The following is a 22,880-nucleotide window of genomic DNA, read 5'->3' as shown; positions in this document are numbered from 1 at the left end:
AAGAACAAAGTCTGTGATACTTCACAGCATATTATTTTGCCAATGTCCTACATCCAGAGCTAGTTAGGCATTATAAGCGTAATAATATTCATAGATACTCAGTCATTTTTCTAAAATTTCTGAAACTGTGAAATATAAAAAATATATATTTAAAGTTAGGAAAATGGGTGATTCCACTTAAATGTTCTTCCTAGTTAATAACTAACAAAGATACGTTAACTACATGTTAAAACAAATTCTTTGGAAGGAAAAAATAGACCTTTCAAAAAATAGGAAAAAAAGTGGCTTAATGAAACCTAAGTGAGATTTTAACATGTTCCAAAATAAAACATAGCAACATATGGAGTCACTAGCAACCAATCATTTTTCAAAACACTTGAGAACACAACATTTGGGGGTATACATGGGGTGCTATCTTTAATATAATAAAATATGTGTGTTGAAATAAGTCCATCATCTTCTGAGAATTAAGTAACCTATCTGCTTTACATGTTTAAAATGTACATTCTTAGCATTAACACACACAGACACATACACTTCTAGAAGCTGAAAATTATCAGCAAACTTGCTCTCCTTTCCTTTAATACTCAGATGTAGGCTCAGAAGCAGCATTTAATGATGAAAATGGTTGAGATGCACCAATAGTCCATGGAGTGAATCTCTGAGACTTTCCTCACTTGTCTGAGTTTCCCTGCACACTTCAGCTATTCTCCACTCTCTGCAGACCTCTCCATTTTCCTGTATCTTCCCAGATGGGGAAGAGAATAGAAAACCAGCAAAAGGTGATTTGTCAGTTCATAAGGCCACAGTCAACATTTCTGGATGGCTGGGTTTTCAATGGCATGCTTATGTTGCTGAATTTAATTAAGCAATACATGAGCCTTGTACAATTTATGTCATTTGCCAAAAAAAAAAAAAATCAGCATGAATATCACTGTATCAGTTCAACATTGTTGAACTTAATGGCCAGGCACAGTGGCTCATGCCTATAATCCCAACACTTTGTGAGGCTGAGGCAGAAGGACGCTTGAGCCCAGGAGTTCGAAACCAGCCTGGGCAACATGGCGAAACCTGTCTCTACTGAAAATACAAAAATCAGCTGGGCATGGTGGCACCTACCTGTAGTACCAGCTATTCGGGAGGCAGAGGTGGGAGGATCACTTGAGCCTAGGAGGTTGAGGCTGCAGTGAGCAGTGATCACACCACTGCCCTCCATCCTGGGCAACAGAGTGAGACCCTATCTTAAAATATATATATACTGAATATAATATAATTATAGAAATAATTAGGAACATATGCCCAATAAAGACATGTCATGTTGAAATGTCAGAGAATATTCAATCACATTATTTTGGGGGATTGGTTGTTGAGTCAATGGGGCAATTTAACTTTCACATAAAAAGAGAATATTTTTACAAATGAGAGAGATTGAGAGATAAGTCTACTTCAGACAGATAAAAAAAATCTTGGAAGAAAGACATCCGACTTTCTTCAACTCTCCAAAACAAATGCATTTGGAAAACATTTGGAGTGAAATATAATTTTGATTTGTTTGTAACTTTATTTTTCAACTCACAGAAGACTGCCCACACAGTGAGACTAAAACTTTAACAGAATTGTTTGTCACTAATCCAATACCCTTAAAAAGACAAACCATTTTCTTGCAGCCTAAAACAAATATTTTTGAAAAGATGATTATAAAACTCTCCCAATTTTAACTCCTGACCCCCAAAGTAAGGTGTAGAACTGGATGCTTAAGGACTTGCCTAAGTAGTACATGGGACATCTAGAAATAAGAATACTGAAAGACCCATTCAATCCCAAACTTCTCAGACAACACATTTTCTTGTGTTCAAAAGGTTACCTGTCCACAGATATAAGTTCACCCTGTTACTAAGAATTTGTTTGTTGGGAGCATTCAAAATCTGCAGATATTTCAGATGAGAGCAAAAATGCATAGCCCTAACCAATAAAACCAATTATCTAGCGTTAGTGTCCCTTTTTAAAGCTCAGATCACAAACAACCATTTAGGTAATAACCATTGAACAAAACTATCATATATTCAAATAAAATCGGCATCCTTTATCTATTCAAGTTCCTTAGTAGGAACCTCTTCCTATGGGGAAGTTTCTCTAGAGTTAATTTCTGGGGGAAAAGAAAACAAAAACCCTCTTCCAAAACAGATGGGATTCTAATCGATTCTCAGATTTCTCTACTAGAAGTATTTACTGGTTCTTTTTAATTACAAAAAAAGACACCATAAATTGTCTGTTTTACTGTCTGTGCTAATTTCATTTCATTATATCCTTGGAGTAAGCTATTATTTTCCCACTGGTTCCCATGGCATTTTTCATTATCAGCTGCTAATTGTCTAGCATTCACATAGGACTGTGAACCAAGTAGGCTGCCACGTGGGCCGAAGTTCTAGAGGAAGCTGAACAGCAATAGGATTCAGCATTGTTATTATTGTGACACATTAGAAAATTTCCACCCACTTGCGTGCCCACATCACTCTGCTGCACATCATCTGTACCCAGAAGGGCTGTGCACTGAAGCATGGGAGGCCATCTGTACCAGGCATTCCACTTGGTGATTATCACTACACATCAAGGGAAGATTACATGGGGCCAAAGGGTTGCAGCTGTGAAAGCCATAGGTCTGGCTCCATATGGCAAGCATGAGTGTTGATCTGAAAACACAACTACTACAGGCCCATCTAAAAGAGTCCTTTATTTCCAACCTTGAGCACAAGTACCTGACTCAACCCAGTTACTCCCCCAAACTTCCCCCATTTACCTTTCCAGAATCAAGGCCAATTTAGAGACGTAAACAATTTTTGAAAGATGTAAAGAGGTTGGAGGCTTTTAAATAGATTTTAACATGTATTGCTCCTTGAAATCATTCCCAGTGGGGATGTGGATATCTGGGGCTAATTACATTTGACCTTATAACTTCAGAAAGGGGCAAACAAAAGCTATTAGAACAGCCCAAACAACATGCAACATTTTACACATTTAGGTCAAGAGGGAGTTGTCAAAGCCTCTTAATTCGCAAAGTAGACAAGAACTAAAAAACTGGGACTCTGAGGCACAGAAGGTGGTGTTTTTATTCTTGTGCTTTGCAGGCACCGTGTTACAAAGTCTTGTGAAACAAAGCCCTGATTTCATAGCAAGCTATGTGCTGAACTTTCACCAGAAAAGTGTGCCTCCTTAGGGAACATCCTCTAAGGGTACGGAGCTACCCTCACCAGATCAGAATCACAGGGGGCTAAAGTACTTACATGGGTTAACCGAGATCATTCAAATGCTGTAAAGTTGTGAATGATATAGGATGACTTTAAGCTGAGCCTCACCTATTGCCGCATCCAATAACACCATCACAGTCCAAATTCTATTCTAGGATTTTGTTGGTTAAGAATACAAGAATCAGCCCAGTGCGGTGTGGTGAGCATCTATAGTCTCAGCTACTCAGGAAGCTGAGGTGGAAGAATCACTTTGAGCCCAGGAGTTGAAGGCTTTAGTGCACTATGATTATACCTGTGAACAGCCACTGCACTCCAGCCTGAGCAACATAGCAAAGTCTATCTCTTTTTAAAAAAGGAAAAGAAAAGAAAAAAATATATGAGATTTAACGTTCACACAGAGATACTCAGTCTCTGTGGACTGGTTCATTCTAATTAAAACAGCCACAGGCTGAAAGGCAGAGAAACATAGTGGATATAAAAAGAGTACTTGGCTGTGAGTTAGGAGATTCTGGTCTAGTGTACTAACTCTATAACCAGGGTGATATGAGGTGCTGAGGACAGGGTTGTGTCTTGCCTTGGAGATGTCAATGTGCCTTCACATAGATGTGTGACAAATCAGAACACCAGCCTTTATACTATAATGATTATTCCTGGCCAGGAAACTAGAACCAATCTTGTATCTGGTGGTGGATTCACTTAAGATGAAATTACAGATCAAAAGGTTGCTTGGTGAGCCATGAGTAAGAGCAAGAAAAGCTGGATCTTCTCAAGGTCTATTTCCATCCATCTACTAGGTAGATGACTCAGCTGTCTCCTCCTAAGGTCTCTCTCACTCAGATTCCAGAATGGCCTTTTAAAATCAGAAGACCCAAACCTCTGGGAAGAGCTAGAACCCACATTGCACATCCTTATTCTTCAACTTTACTTTCTGTATGCCTAAGTCATCACCAGAATCTCCTGGTTTAGGGTTCTCTTCCTATCACTTCAACCACTTTCTTAAAGTTCCACCTCTCTACTCACCTCACAAAGTTTTTATGATCTTCAAGATTCTGAGCTTGGTACTGTTCCCACTTTAACAAGGATTCCTTCACATATTTTCTGCATTTTTCTCGTGGCTTTAGCTGTCATTGAGTGCTACCAAATATGTCAAATCTCTAATCTGGCACGTATATCTCTACCAGGATGTCCTGCAGGATTCCTAACATCATCAAGCCTGGGACTTCACTCGCTCTCCTCTTCAAAAGTCCTCTGAAACTTCCCAAATATGCACCCACTTCATTCTTAGCGGAGTGCTTCAATCAGACCCTTACCATTCTGAGGCCCGACTGCCGTGAAAGCCTCCAGTTTCAGGTTGTCCTCCATCTCCTTTCCCTTAGAATTTTTTTTTTTTTTTAGTTTTTTAAAAGCCTAGCCCAAGTTTTCACCTCCTTAATTTCTCAAAAATATAAGTTGGGTCTCTGATGGAGAGGACTTAGCTAGACTAACCTACTTTGATAAACTTACAGGATAGTGAGGTTCAGATAGAGATGATTTCACGAACATGGCTGAAAAATGATTATTTTACACACATACACTTACGCAGGATACTGCCAGATCCCTCACAACTCCAATCCATTCTACTAACCCCTAATAGAATTAGGTACACGAGCCACAGATATGGTTATACCTAAAAGCTTCTAGGGCTCTCCTCTAAAATTTAAAGTTCAAAATATTATAACATTCAAGACTCTTTCTAAACCAGCCCCAGACCACCTTTCCAGTTTGGTTACCAAGCAGACCTTCCAGATACTTTATGCTTAGCCTCACCAGATTACTCATTTTTCTAAACACACCAAGTACTTCCAAACTTTTGTGCATTGCCTCATAATAATCACTGTCCCTGGAATAAACTTTCTCCACAGGTAAAGTCCTACTCATGTTGTTAGGACCCTCTGGAAAGTCAACGCCTCTACAAAGCCTATCCAAGTCCCACCTGGCAGAAGGGATGAATGCACCCTTTGCACAATGCTTGTGCCTTTACACTAAGCTCATTTAAGTGCATCATTGTTAGTTTAATCCAGCTGTTATCCCCACGAGGCTGTAGTTTATTGAAGCCAGAGAAGGCATCTTATTATTCATCATCATATTCCTGATGCCTTAATCCTAATAGATCCATGTTACTTTAATTGAACAAAAAAGTATAACCTCCAGGATTACATTTTGCTTTAAGTCATTTTATGCACAATAACCCTATCAGTAAACTGTCACTGAATAAGAGTATGGAATGAGATATATCTCTGGAAGATTCCTCAAGAAAATTAATCCCATAAGTAGTGTGTCCTTGTTGGCTCTAACAAGCACATGGCTCTGCTGCTCTTGTCCTATGCTTTAGGTGCCTCAGTGGTTCTGGGGCTGTGTCAACTATCAAATGTGCAGGCTAAGAAAACTATTATCTTAAAACTGTTAATTTAGAAGGAACCCTGGAGGACTTTGACTCAACCCTTCATTTTACACAAACACACACACACACACACACACACACACACACACACACACACACGAAGGACTAAAGTCAGAGGCCAAAAGATCCACCGAAAATACCCAGCAATATTGTAGCAGAGCTGAGACCAGAGCCCAGGATTCTCCGTGCATTCTGACGGTACTGGCTTTACCATTCTCTGCTGCTTCTCCCTGAGACCATCTTACATAGAATCACAGCATCCACTCTTTGCAGCAGTAGTACTCTCCTCCCAACCAAGAACCTCCAACAACTCACCAAATGAAGGAGGACCTCACTGTATACCACCCTGTCTGACAACCATCGGCATCTGCTTGAATACTTTTGATGGCTGGGAAGCTCATGGCTCTGCCAAGCAGTCCAACCGTTCTTTGTCCACATCTTCTGCTTAGACATTCTTCCTCACAAAGAAAGCCAGCACCAATCCTGCAAATAGCTAAAGACAGTTCTATGCCTCCCCAATTTTTTCTGTAATCTAAACAATTGCAGTTTCTTCAACCATTTCTCAAAACATATGGTTGCAACTCCCAATTTTACTAGTTGCCCTCCTCTGCCCCACAGAATAGGACCTAGTCCTAAACAGTTTTGGGCTTTGAAAAAGAGAACAGAAAGCCTCTGAAAGAGTATTATTCAGTGCCCATTTCTCTAACTTTCCAATGCAAAATTGCCATTTCCATCAGCTCTGTAGGATGTCTGAGGAGTAATATGTGGGACCCATTAACAGAAAACAGTACCTGAGAATGTTTTCTTTTTTAAAATATATTTTAGGGGTACAAGTGCAGGTTTTTTAGATGCATATATTGTGTCATGAATTCTGGCCTTTTAGATATCACCTGAATAGTGAAAATTGTATCCAATAGGTCATTATTCAGCCCTCACCCCCCTCCTACCGTCCCACCTTTTGGAGTCTCCAACATCTATTATTCCACTCTATCCATGAGTGGATATTCCACGCATATCCATGTGTACTTATTGTTTAGCTCCCACTTATAAGTGAGAACATGCAGTATTTGACTTTCTGTTTCTGTGTTATTTCCTTGAAGATAATGGTTTCAGTTCCATCCATGTTGCTGCAAAATACATCATTTCATCCTTTTTTTTATTGTACTTTAAGTTCCGGGATACATGTGCAGAACGTGTAGGTTTGTTACATAGGTATACACGTGCCATGGTGGTTTGCTGCACCCAGCAACCTGTCATCTACATTAGGTGTTTCTCCTAATGCTATCTCTCCTCCAGCCCCTCATCCCCTGACAGGCCCTGGTGTGTGATGTTCCCCTCCCTGTGTCCATGTGTTCTCATTGATCAACTCCCACTTATGGGTGAGAACATGTGGTGTTTGATTTTCTCTTCATGTGTTAGTTTGCTGAGAATGATGGTTTCCAGTTTCATCCATGTCCCTGCAGAGGACATTAACTCATCCTTTTTTTTTTTTTTTTTTTTTTTTTTTTTTTGAGACGGAGTCTCGCTCTGTCGCCCAGGCTGGAGTGCAGTGGCGTGATCTCGGCTCACTGCAAGTTCCGCCTCCCGGGTTCACGCCATTCTCCTGCCTCAGCCTCCCGCGTAGCTGGGACTACAGGCACCCGCCACCACGCCCGGCTAATTTTTTGTATTTTTTAGTAGAGACGGGGTTTCACTGTGTTAGCCAGGATGGTCTCGATCTCCTGACCTCGTGATCCGCCCGCCTCGGCCTCCCAAAGTGCTGGGATTACAGGCGTGAGCCACCGCGCCTGGCCCCAACTCATCCTTTTTTATGACTGCATAGTATTCCATGGTGTATATATGCCACATTTTCTTTATCCAGTCTATCATTGATGGGCATTTGAGTTAGTTCCAAGTCTTTGCTATTGTGAACAGTGCTGCAATAAACATATGTATGCATGTGTCTTTATAGTACAATGATTTATAATCCTTTGGGTATATACACAGTAATGGGATTGCTGGGTCAAATGGTATTTCTGGTTCTAGATCCTTGAGGAATCACCACACTGTCTTCTACAATGGTTGAACTAATTTACACTCCCACCAACAGTGTAAAAACGTTCCTATTTCTCCACATCCTTTCCAGCATCTGTTGTTTCCTGACTGTTTAATAATCACCATTCTAACTGGCATGAGATAGTATCTCACCGTGGTTTTGATTTGCATTTCTCAAATGACCAGTGATGATGAGCTTTCTTTCATATGTCTGCTGACCACATAAATGTCTTCTTTTAAGAAGTGTCTGTTCATATCCTTTGCTTACTTTTTGATGGGGTTGTTTTTTTTCTTGTAAATTTGTTTAAGTTCCTTGTACATTCTGGATATTAGCCCTTTGTCAGACAGATAGATTGCAAAAATTTTCTCCCGTTCTGTAGGTTGCCTGTTCACTCTGATGATAGTTTCTTTTGCTGTGCAGAAGCTCTTTAGTTTAATTAATCCCATTTGTTTATTTTGGTTTTTGTTGCCATTGCTTTTGGTGTTTTAGTCTTGAAGTCTTTGGCCATGTCTATGTCCTGAATAGTATTGCCTAGGTTTTCTTCTAGGGTTTGTATGGTTTTAGGTCTTACATTTAAGTCTTTAATCGATCTTGAGTTAATTTTTGTATAAGGTGTAAGGAAGGGATCCAGTTTCAGCTTTCTACATATGGCTACCCAGTTTTCCCAACACTGTTTTTTAAATAGGGAATCCTTTCCCCATTGCTTGTTTTTGTCAGGTTTGCCAAAGATCACATGGTTGTAGATGTATGTGTGGTATTATTTCTGAGGGCTCCGTTCTGTTCCATTGGTCTATATCTCTGTTTTGCTACCAGTACCATGCTGTTTTGGTTACTGTAGCCTTGTAGTATAGTTAGAAGTCAGGTAGCGTGATGCCTCCAGCTTTGTTCTTTTTGCTCAGGATTGTCTTGGCTATATGGGCTCTTTTTTGGTTCCATATGAAGTTTAAGGTAGTTTTTTCTAATTCCGTGAAGAAAGTCAATGGTAGCTTGATGGGGATAGCACTGAATCTACAAATTACTTTGGGCAATATGGCCGTTTTCACAATATTAATTCTTCCTATCCATTAACATGGAATATTTTTCCATTTGTTTGTGTCCTCTCTTATTTCCTTGAGCAGTGGTTTGTAGTGCTCCTTGAAGAGGTCTTTCACACCCCATGTAAGTTGGATTCCTAGGTATTTTATTCTCTTTGTAGCAACTGTGAATGGGAATTCACTCATGATTTGGCTCTCTGTTTGTCTATTATTGGTATAAAGGAATGCTTGTGATTTTTGCACACTGATTTTGTACACTGAGCCTTTGCTGAAGTTGCTTATCAGCTTAAGGAGATTTTGGGCTGAGATGATGGAGTCTTCTAAATGTACAATCATGTCATCTGCAAACAGAGACAATTTGACTTCCTCTCTTCCTATTTGAATACCCTTTATTTCTTTCTCTTGCCTGATTGCCCTGGCCAGAACTTTCAATATTATCTTGAAAAGGAGTGGTGAGAGAGGGCACTCTTGTCTTGTGCCGGTTTTCAAAGGGAATGCTTCCACATTTTGCCCATTCAATATGACATTGGCTGTGGGCTTGTCGTAAATAGCTCTTATTATTTTGAGATTCATTCCATCAATGCCTAATTTATCGAGAGTTTTTAGCATGAAGGGGTATTGAATTTTATTGAAGGCCTTTTCTGCATCTATTGAGATAATCATGTGGTTTTTGTCACTAGTTCTGTTTATGTGATCGATTATGTTTATTGATTTGCATATGTTGAACCAGCCTTGCATCCCAGGGATGAAGCCGACTTGATCGTGGTGGATACGCTTTTTGATGTGCTGCTGGATTCGATTTGCAAATATTTTATTGAGGATTTTCACATCAATGTTCATGAGGGATATTGCCCTGAAATTTTCTTTTTTTGTTTTATCTCAGCCAGGTTTTGATATCAGGATGATGCTGGCCTCATAAAATGAGTTAGAGAGGAGTCCTTCTTTTTCTATTGTTCGGAATAGTTTTAGAAGGAATGGTATCAGCTCCTCTTTGTACCTCTGGTAGAATTCAGCTGTGAATCCGTCTGGTCTTGGGCTTTTTTTGGTTGGTAGGCTATTAATTACTACCTCAATTTCAGAACTTGTTACTGGTCTATTCAGGGATTCGACTTCTTCCTGGTTTAGTCTTGGGAGGGTGTATGTGTCCAGGAATTTATCCATTTCTTCTAGATTTCCTGGTTTATTTGTGTAGGGGTGTTTATAGTATTCTCTGATGGTAGTTTGTGTTTCTGTGGGATCAGTGGTGATATCCCCTTTATCATTTTTTATTGTGTCTATTTGATTCTTCTCTCTTTTCTTCTTTATTAGTCTGGCTAGTGGTCTATCTATTTTATTAATCTTTTCAAAAAACCAGCTCCTGGATTCATTGATTTTTTTGAAGGGTTTTTCATGTCTCTATCTCCTTCAGTTCTGTTCTGATCTTTGTTATGAGAATGTTGTTTTTCAACTGATTTATATTTGATAGAAACCTAAGGATGGAAAACTATTAGATGGAAATACCCAAGAAAAAAATTTAGGGCCAGAATACCCTAGAACACAAACAAATAAAACTGAAACTTTACAGAATGAATTTAAACATTTCAAGACATTCTTGCCTGTTTTTCTCCTTTCCACCCCCATCTTTAGTCTAGGAAAGCACTCACTAAAATATCAATTCAAAACCAAAAATACTCAGTACATATCATTGACAGGATCACAGTCATCTAAATTCCTGCTGAAATTCTGTTTCAGAATCCCACTGTGAGTCGAAAAACAGAAGAAGAAATATATTTCTCAGCTTATCTGACATCTCTCCAAGCTAAACTTTCATTATTTAAACCTAGTGGAGTGTCACTTTGATAACAGAACTGGTATTTTTACTAAAGAGAGTGAAGATTGAATAGAGCCTCTTCTCCAACATGGTAAACTAGCCTGACACCACTCCATCAATAATTTAACTGCTTGCTGAGCATCCATTCATGACTGGAACTTGATTTCTAACTTCAAGAAGCTTAATAAGTATTCTCAAGGAAGGTTCTATGTGTGGGAAATTTATTCCACACAAAACAAGACTTGAAAAAGGGACTATAAGGATCAACTATTATAAAATAAGAAATGATTTTAAAGGAGGCCAAGCGACTTAGCAAGAATCACTCCAACAACTTGATGTAAAAACATCCCATTATCTACATCTGTAAGCAATGCCTTATCTAAAATAAAAATAAGACCAACATCTGAAACTTGTAAATTATATAATATTCATTGTTGAGTTGCAGAAAAGCAGTATATTCTGCCAATTTCTGAACATCTTTCATATTCATAAATACATTTGTTTGACTGATGAGTAATATTTTTTTATATATGGCCAAAGAAGCCTTGCCAGGCAAAGGCAAAAAATGTCTTCTACCTTTGGATGGATTTCATCTGGCTCCAGATACTTTCCAAAAAGCTTATTGACTTGTATTTAAGACAAATCCTTTCAATTGTTCACAAACTGAAAATTGAGACCCTGCCCCCCACTTCATTGAGAACTTGTAGTGGGAAGGGGCACCTTTGCACCTATGGTCATAGCGATGGGGTTTGTCCATTTGGGAAAGGGATGGGGACTGTGGAGGAAGTACTAAAGGGAGCTGCAGAGCTAAGAAGAAAAGAGAGATTCCACTTGACTAGATAAGGGGAAAAAATGAGTGGACTTTGATGCCGCAGGCTGGGGCAAGGGAAGATAGAATGAGAGGTATTGAGCAGAAGGCTTTATCTCATGGAGGACAGGATTGTGCTGGAAAGAGGGAAAAGTAGCAAGAATGTCTCACAAAAGTCACTACGGATTGCAAGAAGAGTCCCAGATTTCAGGGAAGAATGAGAGGGCTACGAATGAAGATTTAGAAAAAAACAACTGAAACTGTCACCCTTCCCCAAGGCAAAGAATAGCCCAAAGAGTGAGGATACTGTTGTAGATCTGAATTATTACTGGTTTATATATGAGCTGAAGCCTGAATGGTAGAGCTGTGAATCTGAGCCCTTGGAGTCCTTGGATGATGAAGCATTTAACGAGGCATCACTAAGGGATAGCTAGTGACTGGTAAAGTCCTGGCAGCGGCTGACCCAAGGCAGGCCACTGGCACAGGGAAAGAGGCTGGCGTTTGTGCAATTAACCCTACTGAGCCAGAGAACCTCACCTTCAACACTGATAGGCATGTGTTTGTCTATAGATCCCAAGCTAACATAACAAAAGGAGCACTACCCCTCCCCATTGTAACATGCCCGTCCAAACTTTCCCTTAGATTGTAACTCTTGCTTCCAAATAAGTGGTCCTTCTGCACGGGAAAGGGGCAAATGTCACAGTCTCCCCTAAGGCCCAGGAAGCCTTTCATTTCAGTGGAGTCTGGAAGGGAAGGCAAAGCCTATCTGTGATTATTCAAGCAGATCTGCCCCCAGGCAAGCAAAACATACAGACCTTGTCAACCATTCCGGTTCTCAGTCTGATCTAGGAACAGCCGGTCTGAAGAGCATTCCAGGGAAGCCTGCCCCACCACTATGTGGGTGACAAAAGGAAAACCTGAGAGGGAGGGAAATGGAGAAGGGGCCAAGCAAGATCTGAATCTCCAGGGAAGCTACTCAGAACAAAGACAAGCAGAATAATAATTATTATACTTTATACTTACATGGCATTTACTATGTGCCAGGCACTTTATGCTCATTTAAATCTGACAGGGGTCCTAAGACATTGAAATTATTATTATTATCACTTAACAGATGAGAAATATACTGAGGCTTAGAGAATGACTTATCCAAAGTTGCAGAATGCTGTGTCAGAGCCAGAATTTTACCCTGGCAGTCTGGCTCAAGACCCTATTTTAATCACTCTGCTATTCTGCCTTATCATAGGTTTTTAGGGGATTTTTTTGTTGTTGTTTATTTGAAGCTAGAATGCAACAGACACTGTCAATAGGGATTCAGTGGCCGTGAGGAGAGCCATTTAGTCTCAAATCAAGAGAGAGGAACAAGAATTTGGAAGCAATAACATGAGGACCTTTAAGCATCAGCCTAAGCCAGTAGATGGAAACAGAAAAAAAAAAATAGAAATAAAAGGAATGTCACCTCAAAAGCTGAGGTTAAAGAATTCAAAAATATGTGCTAACCCCGTGAAAAGGACAATAATGAAAACTATGTAGTTGCAACTTAATGCATCTGTTTATTCTGTATATTCTGTTCATCTTCAGAGATTTCCTCACATCATTATAAAAATTATCATGCACATAAACAGTTGACTGCAATAAATATGGTAAGAAACGAGCATTGCCAGAGTTTTTTTGAAAAAAAAGGAGAAAGGCTGCTAATTCTAAGATTGGGAGTTGAAAAGCCCCCAGATGACATCAGCCTAAATTCTCCTAGAAAAGAATGACAGGAAGCTGGCTCAGGGAACTTTCTCTGTGGAGGTGACCCATTTTATCACCATAGATAGGACTCAGGTGTACAGTGAGGGCCTGGGATGAGAGGTCAGGGGAGGTGCTTGGCCTCTGTCCTTCCATTCGTCCTTTTTCTTCCCCCTTAGACACTGTGATGGACTGAACTGTGTCTCCCATAAAATTCACAGATTGAAATCCTAACCCCTAGTACCTCAGAAGGTCACTGTATTTGGAGATAAGGTCTTTAGAGAGAAGATAAAATGAGGGCTTAAAAGTGGGCCCAGATCCAACACGACTGGCATCCTCATAAAAAGAGGAAATCTGGCCACAGGCATGTACACACGTGAAGGAAAGATCGTATGAAGACAGAAGGAGATGGCCATGTAGAGCCCAAGCAAAGAAGCCTCAGAATGGATCCAATCATGCGGACACCTTGATCTCAGACTTCTGTCCTCCAGGACTGTGAGAAAATAGATCTCTGCTGTTGAAGCTTTGCAGTTGGTGGCATTTGTGAAAGCAGCACTAGTGGACTAATACAGTGTCTTTCGTAAACTGTAGGTGTGCACAGGAGGATTATTTGCTAGCTGTCTCACTGAACAACCATGTGCTTCCTGGCCCTAAAACAGACTGCCAGTTAGTGCTTTGGGGGGATTATGCATCCATCAGGAACAGGAGGAGAGAATAATTAAAGGTCCTCCAGACTTCTATAGCAAAGTTCCCAGACACATAATGCCCTGGTTCATGTCCTTTTTTGGTTTTTTTGTTTTTGTTTTTATTTGAGACCAAGTCTCACTCTGTTGCCCAGGCTGGAGTGCAGTGGCACGATCTCAGCTCACTACAACCTCTGCCTACTGGGTTCAAGCAATTCTCCTGCCTCAGCCTCCCAAGTAGCTGGGATTATAGGCACCCGCCACCATGCCCAGCTAATTTTTGTATTTTTAGTAGAGACGAGGTTTCACCATGCTGGCCAGGCTGGTCTCGGGCTCCTGACCTTAAGTGATCCGCCCGCCTTGGCCTCCCAAAGTGCTGGAATTACAGGCGTGAGCCACCGCACCCAGCCTCATGTCTGTCCTTTTTATATCCTTTAGGAATTACCACAAAATCCCTTTAGAGTCTGTTTCCACACTCCCTCTGTCCCCTAAATTCATCCTTCTTAGCATCAAACAAAATTCATCTTCACCTGTTTTTTAACCATGTCAGTCCCCCTTAGCTGGTGTTAATGGTTTCTCATTAGCTACAATATAAAGCCCAAATTCCTTTGCTTGTCTCTTAAGGATACCCCTTAAATCCTTTTGCTTGTCTCTTAAGGTCAACTCCAGGTTTATCCCACTGTGCCCCCAAAGGAAGCCTTGTAGTTCCACAGAGTTAACAACCTCAGCGCATTGCCCTGGAGAGAGCATTATTTATTCATTTCTAGGCCTCTGGACCTTTAATCCAATCCCCTCCCCAAGAATGCCTTCCTAGTCAAGTCCCCTCCCACCCAGCCAACCCTGAAGGTGAACTGTATGGCACTCCCACACTACTTACCTGGCAAACATCTCGTATCTGGCAAGCTGGGCAGCTGTTTTCTACTTTGTGAAGCCCTTGAAGGCCCACGTCTAATATTCCTTGTATCCTCCCCACCCAGCTCATACAGTGTCTATCACAGGGTTTTGGGTACAGTATCATTCAATAAACACCAGGGAAGCAGATAAGGAGGAAAACGTGTGAAAGCAGAGCCTGTAGCAATCCCCACCCTGTTTGCGTATCTCATTTCTTAAAAAGTTCTTTATCCTTCGGTAATTAATTGAAAAATTAAACTTATAGTCTAGATATGTGGTCTCATCCCTCCAAGTTTCCTGTCTGAAACACTCTGTGTGTGTGTGTGTGTGTGTGTGTGTGTGTGTTGCGGGGTAGGAGGTTGGGGCAACAGAAGAGGCCTCAGATGAAAGTTAAAATGGGTATTCCTCAATGGACTGTAAACTCCTCAAAGGCAGGACACTCATATGCCATTTTGACCCTTATACTTGTACAAGCGGGTATTCTGTCAATATGTGTGATTGACACATAGACACATGGATCAATTATAAGCCTGACCATAAACATGGGAGTCCCTGGGGTTTCCCACTGCCAAGTTAGGGACAAGTTTCCATCCTTCCTCTTTCCTCTAGTTCTCTAACCCAACAAAGCCAAATGCCACATCATATCTGGGAAGCCTGGTGCCTAAAGCTGACTTCCATTTCTGCCACTGAAACAACAATAATCTCTTATTGAAAATTGTCCCAACACTCTCCAGATCTCCATGGAAAGGCAAGTGGGGCTTCCTGCCCATCCACAGTGGCTGTACATCAAGAAATTACCCTGACTGGTCCTGAGATAATTAGAGACTTTGTCAGCAAACGCTTCAGTAATTTTAACCAAAAAGGCAGAGGAGCAGTGGAGATTGAGCACAGGTCGGAGTTGGAAACTGATAAATAAAATCTAAAAGCTAAGTAAGTCTTACAGCTCCTATGTACCTTACTTTCAAAGGACTTCCCCTCATAATTGGCAAAGTAAGGAAGTTAGTCTTCCCCCAGGGCAAAGGATCGCCTTTTCTTTTCAAGAACTCACTAAACCAATTAACTCTGTTAAACAAGGAGAGAAAACATTTCAAACTGCAAGGCATGGTTGCCATTAACACTGGCCTTGCTCCAGCAATTACAAATGATAACCAACTTTAAAAATCATGATGAACTACTGCTTCAAAGCAAAATCAGTTTAAAGCAAATGTAAACTTTGAAGCTCTTAGAAATAGAATCACAGAGACATCACCATCCACGGGGAAATCCCTGCTCCAGCCAGCCCAGCTTCCACTGAAGCAAGTGATAGCACCGTTCCTGGCACAGTCTTTTTTGCTGGCTTTTGCTGTCTGTAAGACAAGTTCATGGTTATGCTGGACAGCTGATGAGGATTTTTAGTCCTTGTAAATTCACCAATGAGAACAATTTGTTCAGATTTCACAAAACAAGGATGCACGGGTACCCCTTGTGACATCAGGTATAAATGCTGCCATTTTTAGAAAACCTGAAAACAGGTTGAATTGTTCAAGGAAGGGAACATGTCAGGCCCAGCAGCCTGAGGGTGATGAAAAGTTGCCGAGGATGGTACCTGGGCTTGTGACCCTCTCTCTGGGAGCGTCAAAGAGCTAAGGCAATCATGTAAAGGAACATGGCTATAGAGGCAGACATAGAACGGAGGAGGGGACAGACAGGTGGCACAGGGAGCAGAGAGAAAGTCCGGGGGATGTGGAAAATGAAGAGAGAAAAAGTGATAGAGGAGGTGCAGCAACATCATTACATTCTAAAATGCAAATTCTCTATGGAATCTCGGGACAATTATGGCAGGACCTCTTCCCTGTGTTATTCCTAATCAAAATAAGAAATGTATTTCTGTGACGTTACCACTGATGATTAGTGAACTCATTAGCCGCCTTGTGGCACTGGGAGTCAGTCACTTCCAGCTGATAGAATGATGCTCTGCCCTATCTATCCCCCAGCAGCCGGAACAAATTTAAAATGATCTAGTATCAACTTTTTCATTTCTACTAAACCATAGTTATCAGTACTTTTTTCTTTGCTGGGAAATCATGGCAGAAAATGATGACTCCTCATGCATTGCTATGGAAACCCTAAAACTTCCTCTAGAAACCATCAAAAAGAGGCAGCGCATAACCCCACTCTGACTCTCAATCACGATTCTCTCCAAGGAAGAAAACTGAAAATCAGATGGATTCATTCCGAGTTCCTTTTTCCAATCAAACAGATGGGATTTAGATAAGCTCTTAAAGCAAATTGTGATTCATATAATAATATGTAAACTTATCTCAAATCTCAGAGGTTTTTTTTCTAAAGAAGATTCCAATAATTAAAGCAGTGCTATACAACTGAAATTCCATTAAAGCAATATAGTTAGACACAAGTTTCTCAGAGCTAAAACATTTACAAACCCTGGCTGAAGGGTCAGAATACTTGCGCCCTTTACTCAATGTATTAAAACATTGATGATTATGAAAAAATGTACTATTAAAACACATAACAAAATGTTTTCATATGTTCTTATTTAATGATTTCTAAAATACATTCAAAAGAACCTACTATGTGCTTACCACGATGCAAAGCAAGATCAAGAACAAACTAACCATAATTACTACCAGAAACATCCTTCTAACTCTACCGACTTAGAGCCCACATGGGACACATCCAGGTGAAGGTCCTAAATTCACAGGCCAAACACTTTCCCAGAGAAACTCTAGGTTGAAGGGAAACTGCCACGTGTCGACTCTGTGCTTGGTCCGTTTCACCACCCCAACAACTAGATCGGTTTTCTTACCCTCACTGGTATAGATCAGGACACACAGGCTTAGAGAATGACCAAGGTGCCCATTGGTTACAAAGCCCCAGTTAGGTGAAGAGCCAGGCTAGGCCAGTACCAGCGACCAAGGCTTAGGACTTTTCTTCTGCAGGCAGCAGAATGACTCTGGCTAAAAAATGCAACCAAACTATAATGAAAAAATATGCAAAGACCACCAGATAGAAAGAAAAGGGAACAAATAAGACATGAAAAGGGCCAGAATGAGGACAGTGTGGGCATCTGCGTAGGAGAAATTAATGGGAGCCACTGTCGGCGTGAATCAGCTTCAATCACCGCAGGGCCTTGAGTTCCCCTATTGAAAGGTCATGCTGACCTCTTGGCTGGAGGAGCAAGGCCATCTGATTGACAGCCCCACCCAAACTGCCTGCAATGGAAAGTAGTGCCGCCCCCAAGTAAAATTAGAGGGGAAAAAGGAATGGGCAAAAAGAAATAACTGTAGAAGGTGATGGATATATTAATTTGCTTGCCTGTGGTAATCATTTTCCCATACATATCAAAATATCATGTTGCACACCTTAAATTTATGCAATAAATAAATTTTGAAAATAAAAAGGAAGAAGGAATGAAAATACTCTTTCGCAAAACTGTACTGAGTTCACGATAATAAAATTGCCATAATGTACCCAAGCCACAAAGTTTTAAACTCTGGGAAGTGTATTGCAAGTCCACTTTGTTTTCACTATGGGTTACAAATGAATTAAACAGAGAAGAGTCATCTTCAAATAATGGGATTTTAGATCTGAAAGGAACCTCAGAGGTCAACTAGAACAATTCTATCACTTTGCAGGTAAGGAAACAGGATTTGTCCCAGGTTCCACAAGCTAGTGAGAGGCAGAACTAGAATGGAGCTTGCCTCAGTCCAGACCAATCTCTGCCCACTATGCTGCATCCAACGCTTTTGGGTCACCACAATAAAATCTCAATGTGGTGAAATAACTTAGTCATCTCCTTATAGCACTGGCTATAATAATACATCTAAGCACGTGCTACCCACAAGTGTAGTCCCAAACCACATCATTTCTTCCCAGAGTTTCCTTTGCATAACAGTGCCTCAATTCCGGTATTACATGTCAGTTTAGGATTTACACATTCATAAAGCATTCTACATTTTTTGTCATACAGAGGTTTTCTCAGGCTGAATCACCACTTTAACAACAAAAAAAGAAACTTGAGATGATTAACATTTAATGGGGACTTGTTGACTTGCCATGTACTTTTTAAGCCATTTACATATAGGTACAAAAAAATGTAAGCAGAGAATGATTTGAAGAAATAGAAAAATAGAAATCAACTAAATGTCAAAATGAAAGAAAGGTTGAATCAAATGATAGTATATCTATGTGATTTAAAAAGCAAACAAAATAAGTTTATACAATCATGAATGTTATAAGCATAGAAATATCTCATAAGCTGGTTGAATGAAAAGTTTATACAGAAAAAGTATATGCAGCAAAATCTTTATTTCCACAAAAACAATAGTAATACATGAATGTATGTGTGCATATATATATATGACTATGTACTTGTATACATACATATATACACACACTCTCATATATACACACAAATATGCATGTGTACGTGTGTATATATATGTATATATACACATACACACAATTTGTATTAAAATGCTAATTTGGAGACTAGGGAAATAGAATATAAGTATTTTTAAATATCCTCCTTATTTTCTATTCTTCTAGTATAGACTGTTTTTTTCTTAAATAGAAAATAGCTTATTTTGTAAATGTCCAAACGCTTTGCCAGCTAGGCAGTACTCCACTGTGTCTGATAACCTAACCCTCACTATCTACCCTGAGCCATCATACTAACAGGAACAGTGCTGGCCTCTGCACACAACTAGCCCTTTAGCTGGGAAGGGGTCACATTGTGAGTGCACACTCTCCCAGAGACTAGGGCAAGAGGAGGTAAATGGTGACCAGAACAGCTCAACTCTGAAAAGGACAGTTTTGTTTTGTTTCTCCTGGCATCTCTTTTGTTTCAGAGTCCATGGATTGATTAGAACAGCTCTTCACCCTTGGACTTTTGAGAGAAAAATCACATAACTGTACTATACAGTCCTACATTCAGGGATGAGTATAGGGTAGAGGCTGGGAAAACAGGGTGAAAGAGTCAGGTTTGATTATTCCAACTTTCACTGATTTTATTTTGTAATTTTAGGGACACTAAGTGAGACCTCTTGCTTCAGATTCAGATACCTTCTTTCTATAGCCAGAATCTTTGTGAAAACAGACAATGGGAAAGGAGCTTTGTGTCTGTCTCTTCCCCTCCTCCCGGCTCTCATCTCTGACAGGCAGCATGGTGATTTAACTGTCAGCACTAAGTGGCACATCTTCTTTCAAGGGGCTCCACGGAACACTCCATAAACCGACAAAAGAATATAACAAACAAACAAGTGCCTGAAAGCTTTTGCGTTTCCATGGCAACTAGACTGGCTTTCCCAAACTCACCTGTCAAAGATATTCCACCAAAAAAGAGAATGTAGCTAACAATACACCTGATATCTTATTAATGCTTTTGTATATAGCTGATCAGTGTTTACAAAAACAGCCAAAGCTAACTATGACCATGTCACAACTATACTGGACTGGGCAGTTGATTTTTACTCTTAATTTTGAGTGAGCAGAGATGTCAGGCTGGTCCATTCAACAGGCATTTATGGGACTCACTCCCTGCCATATAAAATGCAGCACCTACATACATGAGGCATGAGTAGCTTAATCTCATGAGCAGATAAGTTCTGAAGCAAAGATGGGGAAGGGGTGTAAGGGAGAGAGAAGATCTATCTGTGTGCCCCATGTCAAGTCTCCTTTCAGACTCTGATATGGTTTGGCTCTGTGTCCCCACCCAAATCTCATCTCTAATTGTAATCTCCATAATCCCCCATGTGTTGACGGAAGGAACCGGTAGGAAGTGATTTGATCATGGAGGTGGTTTCCCCCATGTTGTTCTCATGATAGTGAGTGAATTCTCACGAGATCTGATGGTTTTATAAGGTTTAATAGTTCCTCCTTCACACGCTCTCTCTCACCTGCTGCCATGTAAGATGTGCCTGCTTCCCCTTCCACCACGATTGTAAGTTTCCTGAGGCCTCCCCAGCCATGTGGAACTGTGGGAAATTAAACCTCTTTTCTTTATAAACTACTCAGTCTCAGGCAGTTCTTTATAGCAGTGTGAAAACAGACTAACACAGACTCCTATCAGAAATCAGAAGCCTGTAAACACTGAAGGGGGCCATGGGTCCACCCTTGGTTTCCAGCATTTGGTGTAGTCAGAAAGGCGAGGCCAACCCTGAGACTTTTCTGAGGAGCAATGGTACCAGTCCTCTGGAGGGATGGTAAGAGGGTATCTCGGTTATGAAGGAGCTGGGTGTGCTGGCTGGTGGCCACAGTGCCCAGTGTGTGTTCAACTGGTTAAAGCAGTGTCCAGTTCCAAAGTAAAATTGTCCTCTGGTCACCTTTGATGTCAAGCTCTCTAGTCTTCCCATTAATTCAAAAGATCCAAGAGCAGGAAGGTCAACTTAAGAAAAGGACACTGTTGGTGGTACTGCAAACTGGTACAATTCTCCTTCAGGGCAGTTTTCTAATACATATCAAATACCATTAACATTCCAGAGCCTTTGACCCAGTTATGACACTTAAAGAATTTATTCTAATGGGTGCAGCACACCAACGTGGCACATGTATACATATGTAACAAACATGTACATTGTGCACATGTACCCTAAAACTTAAAGTATAATTTAAAAAAAAATTTATTCTAAGGAAATGATCCTAGATGTACACACGGATACAGCAAAGATATTAATTGCAGGGCTGTTCACAATAGGGAAAAAATGGAAACAACCTAAAAGTTCAATATGAGACAGGCACTAAGTTTTAGTACAGTCACACAAAGGCATTTCATGCAGCCATTAAAAGGGCTGTAGAAAAACTTTTGTACTACTATACAAAATGAAGAATGGATTTTAAAACATAAAATACAGATGTAGGCATATGAATAACTAGAAAGCTATACATCAAAATAATAAAAATAATCATCTCTGAGTGTCTTCGTTGTGGACTTTTTTTCATTTATCAATTTGGCTACAATAAAATGCTATCACATAATTTAAAAAACAAGCGAATATTTTTAAAAAAAAGAAAATAAGAGAAAGAATATATGTTGGCTCCATCCTGTCCCTAGAAAAGTATATGCAAAATATAACCAATTGACTTTTAATCTATCTCCTCTAAGAAAGAATCCTGACTTGGACTAATGTGCTGCAAAATGGGCTGTTTTCATTTATTCATTATTTACTAATTTCCTCCTATTTACAAAGTTGAGGTGCTGCATAGACAGTGTGGAGGTAGGGGAGCCACTGAAAGCCTTAAAGACAAGAAAGTAATATGAGATCTGCATGTGCATTGGAATGGGGCACTCCAGAGGTAGGAAGACAAGTATGTTTTCTATTGCTGCTGTAGCAAATTATCACAAACTTAGTAGCTTAAAAGAGTACACATTTATTATCTTACAGTTCTGTAGGTCAGAAGTCCAAAATGGGTCTCACCAGGCTAAGAGCAAGGTGTGAGGAGGGCGGCATTCCATTCCAGAAGCACTAAAAGAGAATCCATTTTCTTATCTTTTCCTGCCTCTACAAGTGGCTCAAATTCCTTGGCTCATGGTCCCTTTCTCTATGTTCAAACCCAGCAGCAACAGCTAGTGGAGTTCTTCTTATATCACATTACTCTGACCTCTTCGTCTGCTTCCCTCTTCCACTTGCATAGACTCGTAATTATATTGGTCCCACCTGGACAACCCAGCATGCTTTCCCTATTTAAAGGCCAGTTGATTAGCAAGTTTAATTACCCATTGTCATGTAACCTAACATATTCATGGGTCCTGGGGATTAGGATGTGAACATCTTGAGGGGATGTGGGGCACTATTCGGCCTACTAGAACCATTTAAAAATTATTACAGTGATCCAGATGAGAGCCAGAAGGATGGCAATGGCCAAAGGGAAGGGGTGGAGAAGGCAGTTCCAACAGATGTTAAGGTTGAAACTTCTAGGATTTGGTGGTGGTCAGATATGGAAAGTGACTTGCAGCCTAGCTGCCAGGTGACAGCTGTGACCCCTCACAGAGACCGGGAACACATGCAAAGGACCAGGTGAGAGAGGGAGATAATGTGATACACATGCAGAACCAGAGGTGCTCATGGGATGTCTGGGTACACACGGCTCTGTGAACAGGTGGTCTGGAGGGAGGACTGGCTGGAGAAAAAGAAATAGGAGACAGCGGCATAAAACTCATGGATGAAGTGAGAGATAGGAGCAGATCAAGCCATCTGCTCTA

At 40.5% G+C, this 22,880-nt stretch overlaps 1 protein-coding gene across 14 annotated transcripts in view, besides 1 other annotated feature; it reads right to left on the bottom strand.

Moving 5' to 3' along the window:
* SYT16 (synaptotagmin 16) overlaps positions 1–22,880 on the bottom strand; it is a 300,664-nt gene that overhangs the window by 159,774 nt on the left and 118,010 nt on the right. The window lies entirely within an intron of this gene.
* Positions 21,988–22,840: an enhancer, noted in NCBI's record as "OCT4-NANOG hESC enhancer chr14:62396930-62397782 (GRCh37/hg19 assembly coordinates)". NCBI's record gives its function as "activates a minimal SCP1, AML or CMV promoter by ChIP-STARR-seq in primed H9 embryonic stem cells {active_cell/tissue: H9 hESC(primed)}" and the evidence as "EXISTENCE:reporter gene assay evidence [ECO:0000049][PMID:30033119]".

This window comes from Homo sapiens, chromosome 14, assembly GCF_000001405.40.
Source record: "Homo sapiens chromosome 14, GRCh38.p14 Primary Assembly".
In the NCBI taxonomy this organism is placed as follows: domain Eukaryota; kingdom Metazoa; phylum Chordata; class Mammalia; order Primates; family Hominidae; genus Homo; species Homo sapiens.
This window is presented reverse-complemented; position numbering and strand designations above follow the sequence as displayed.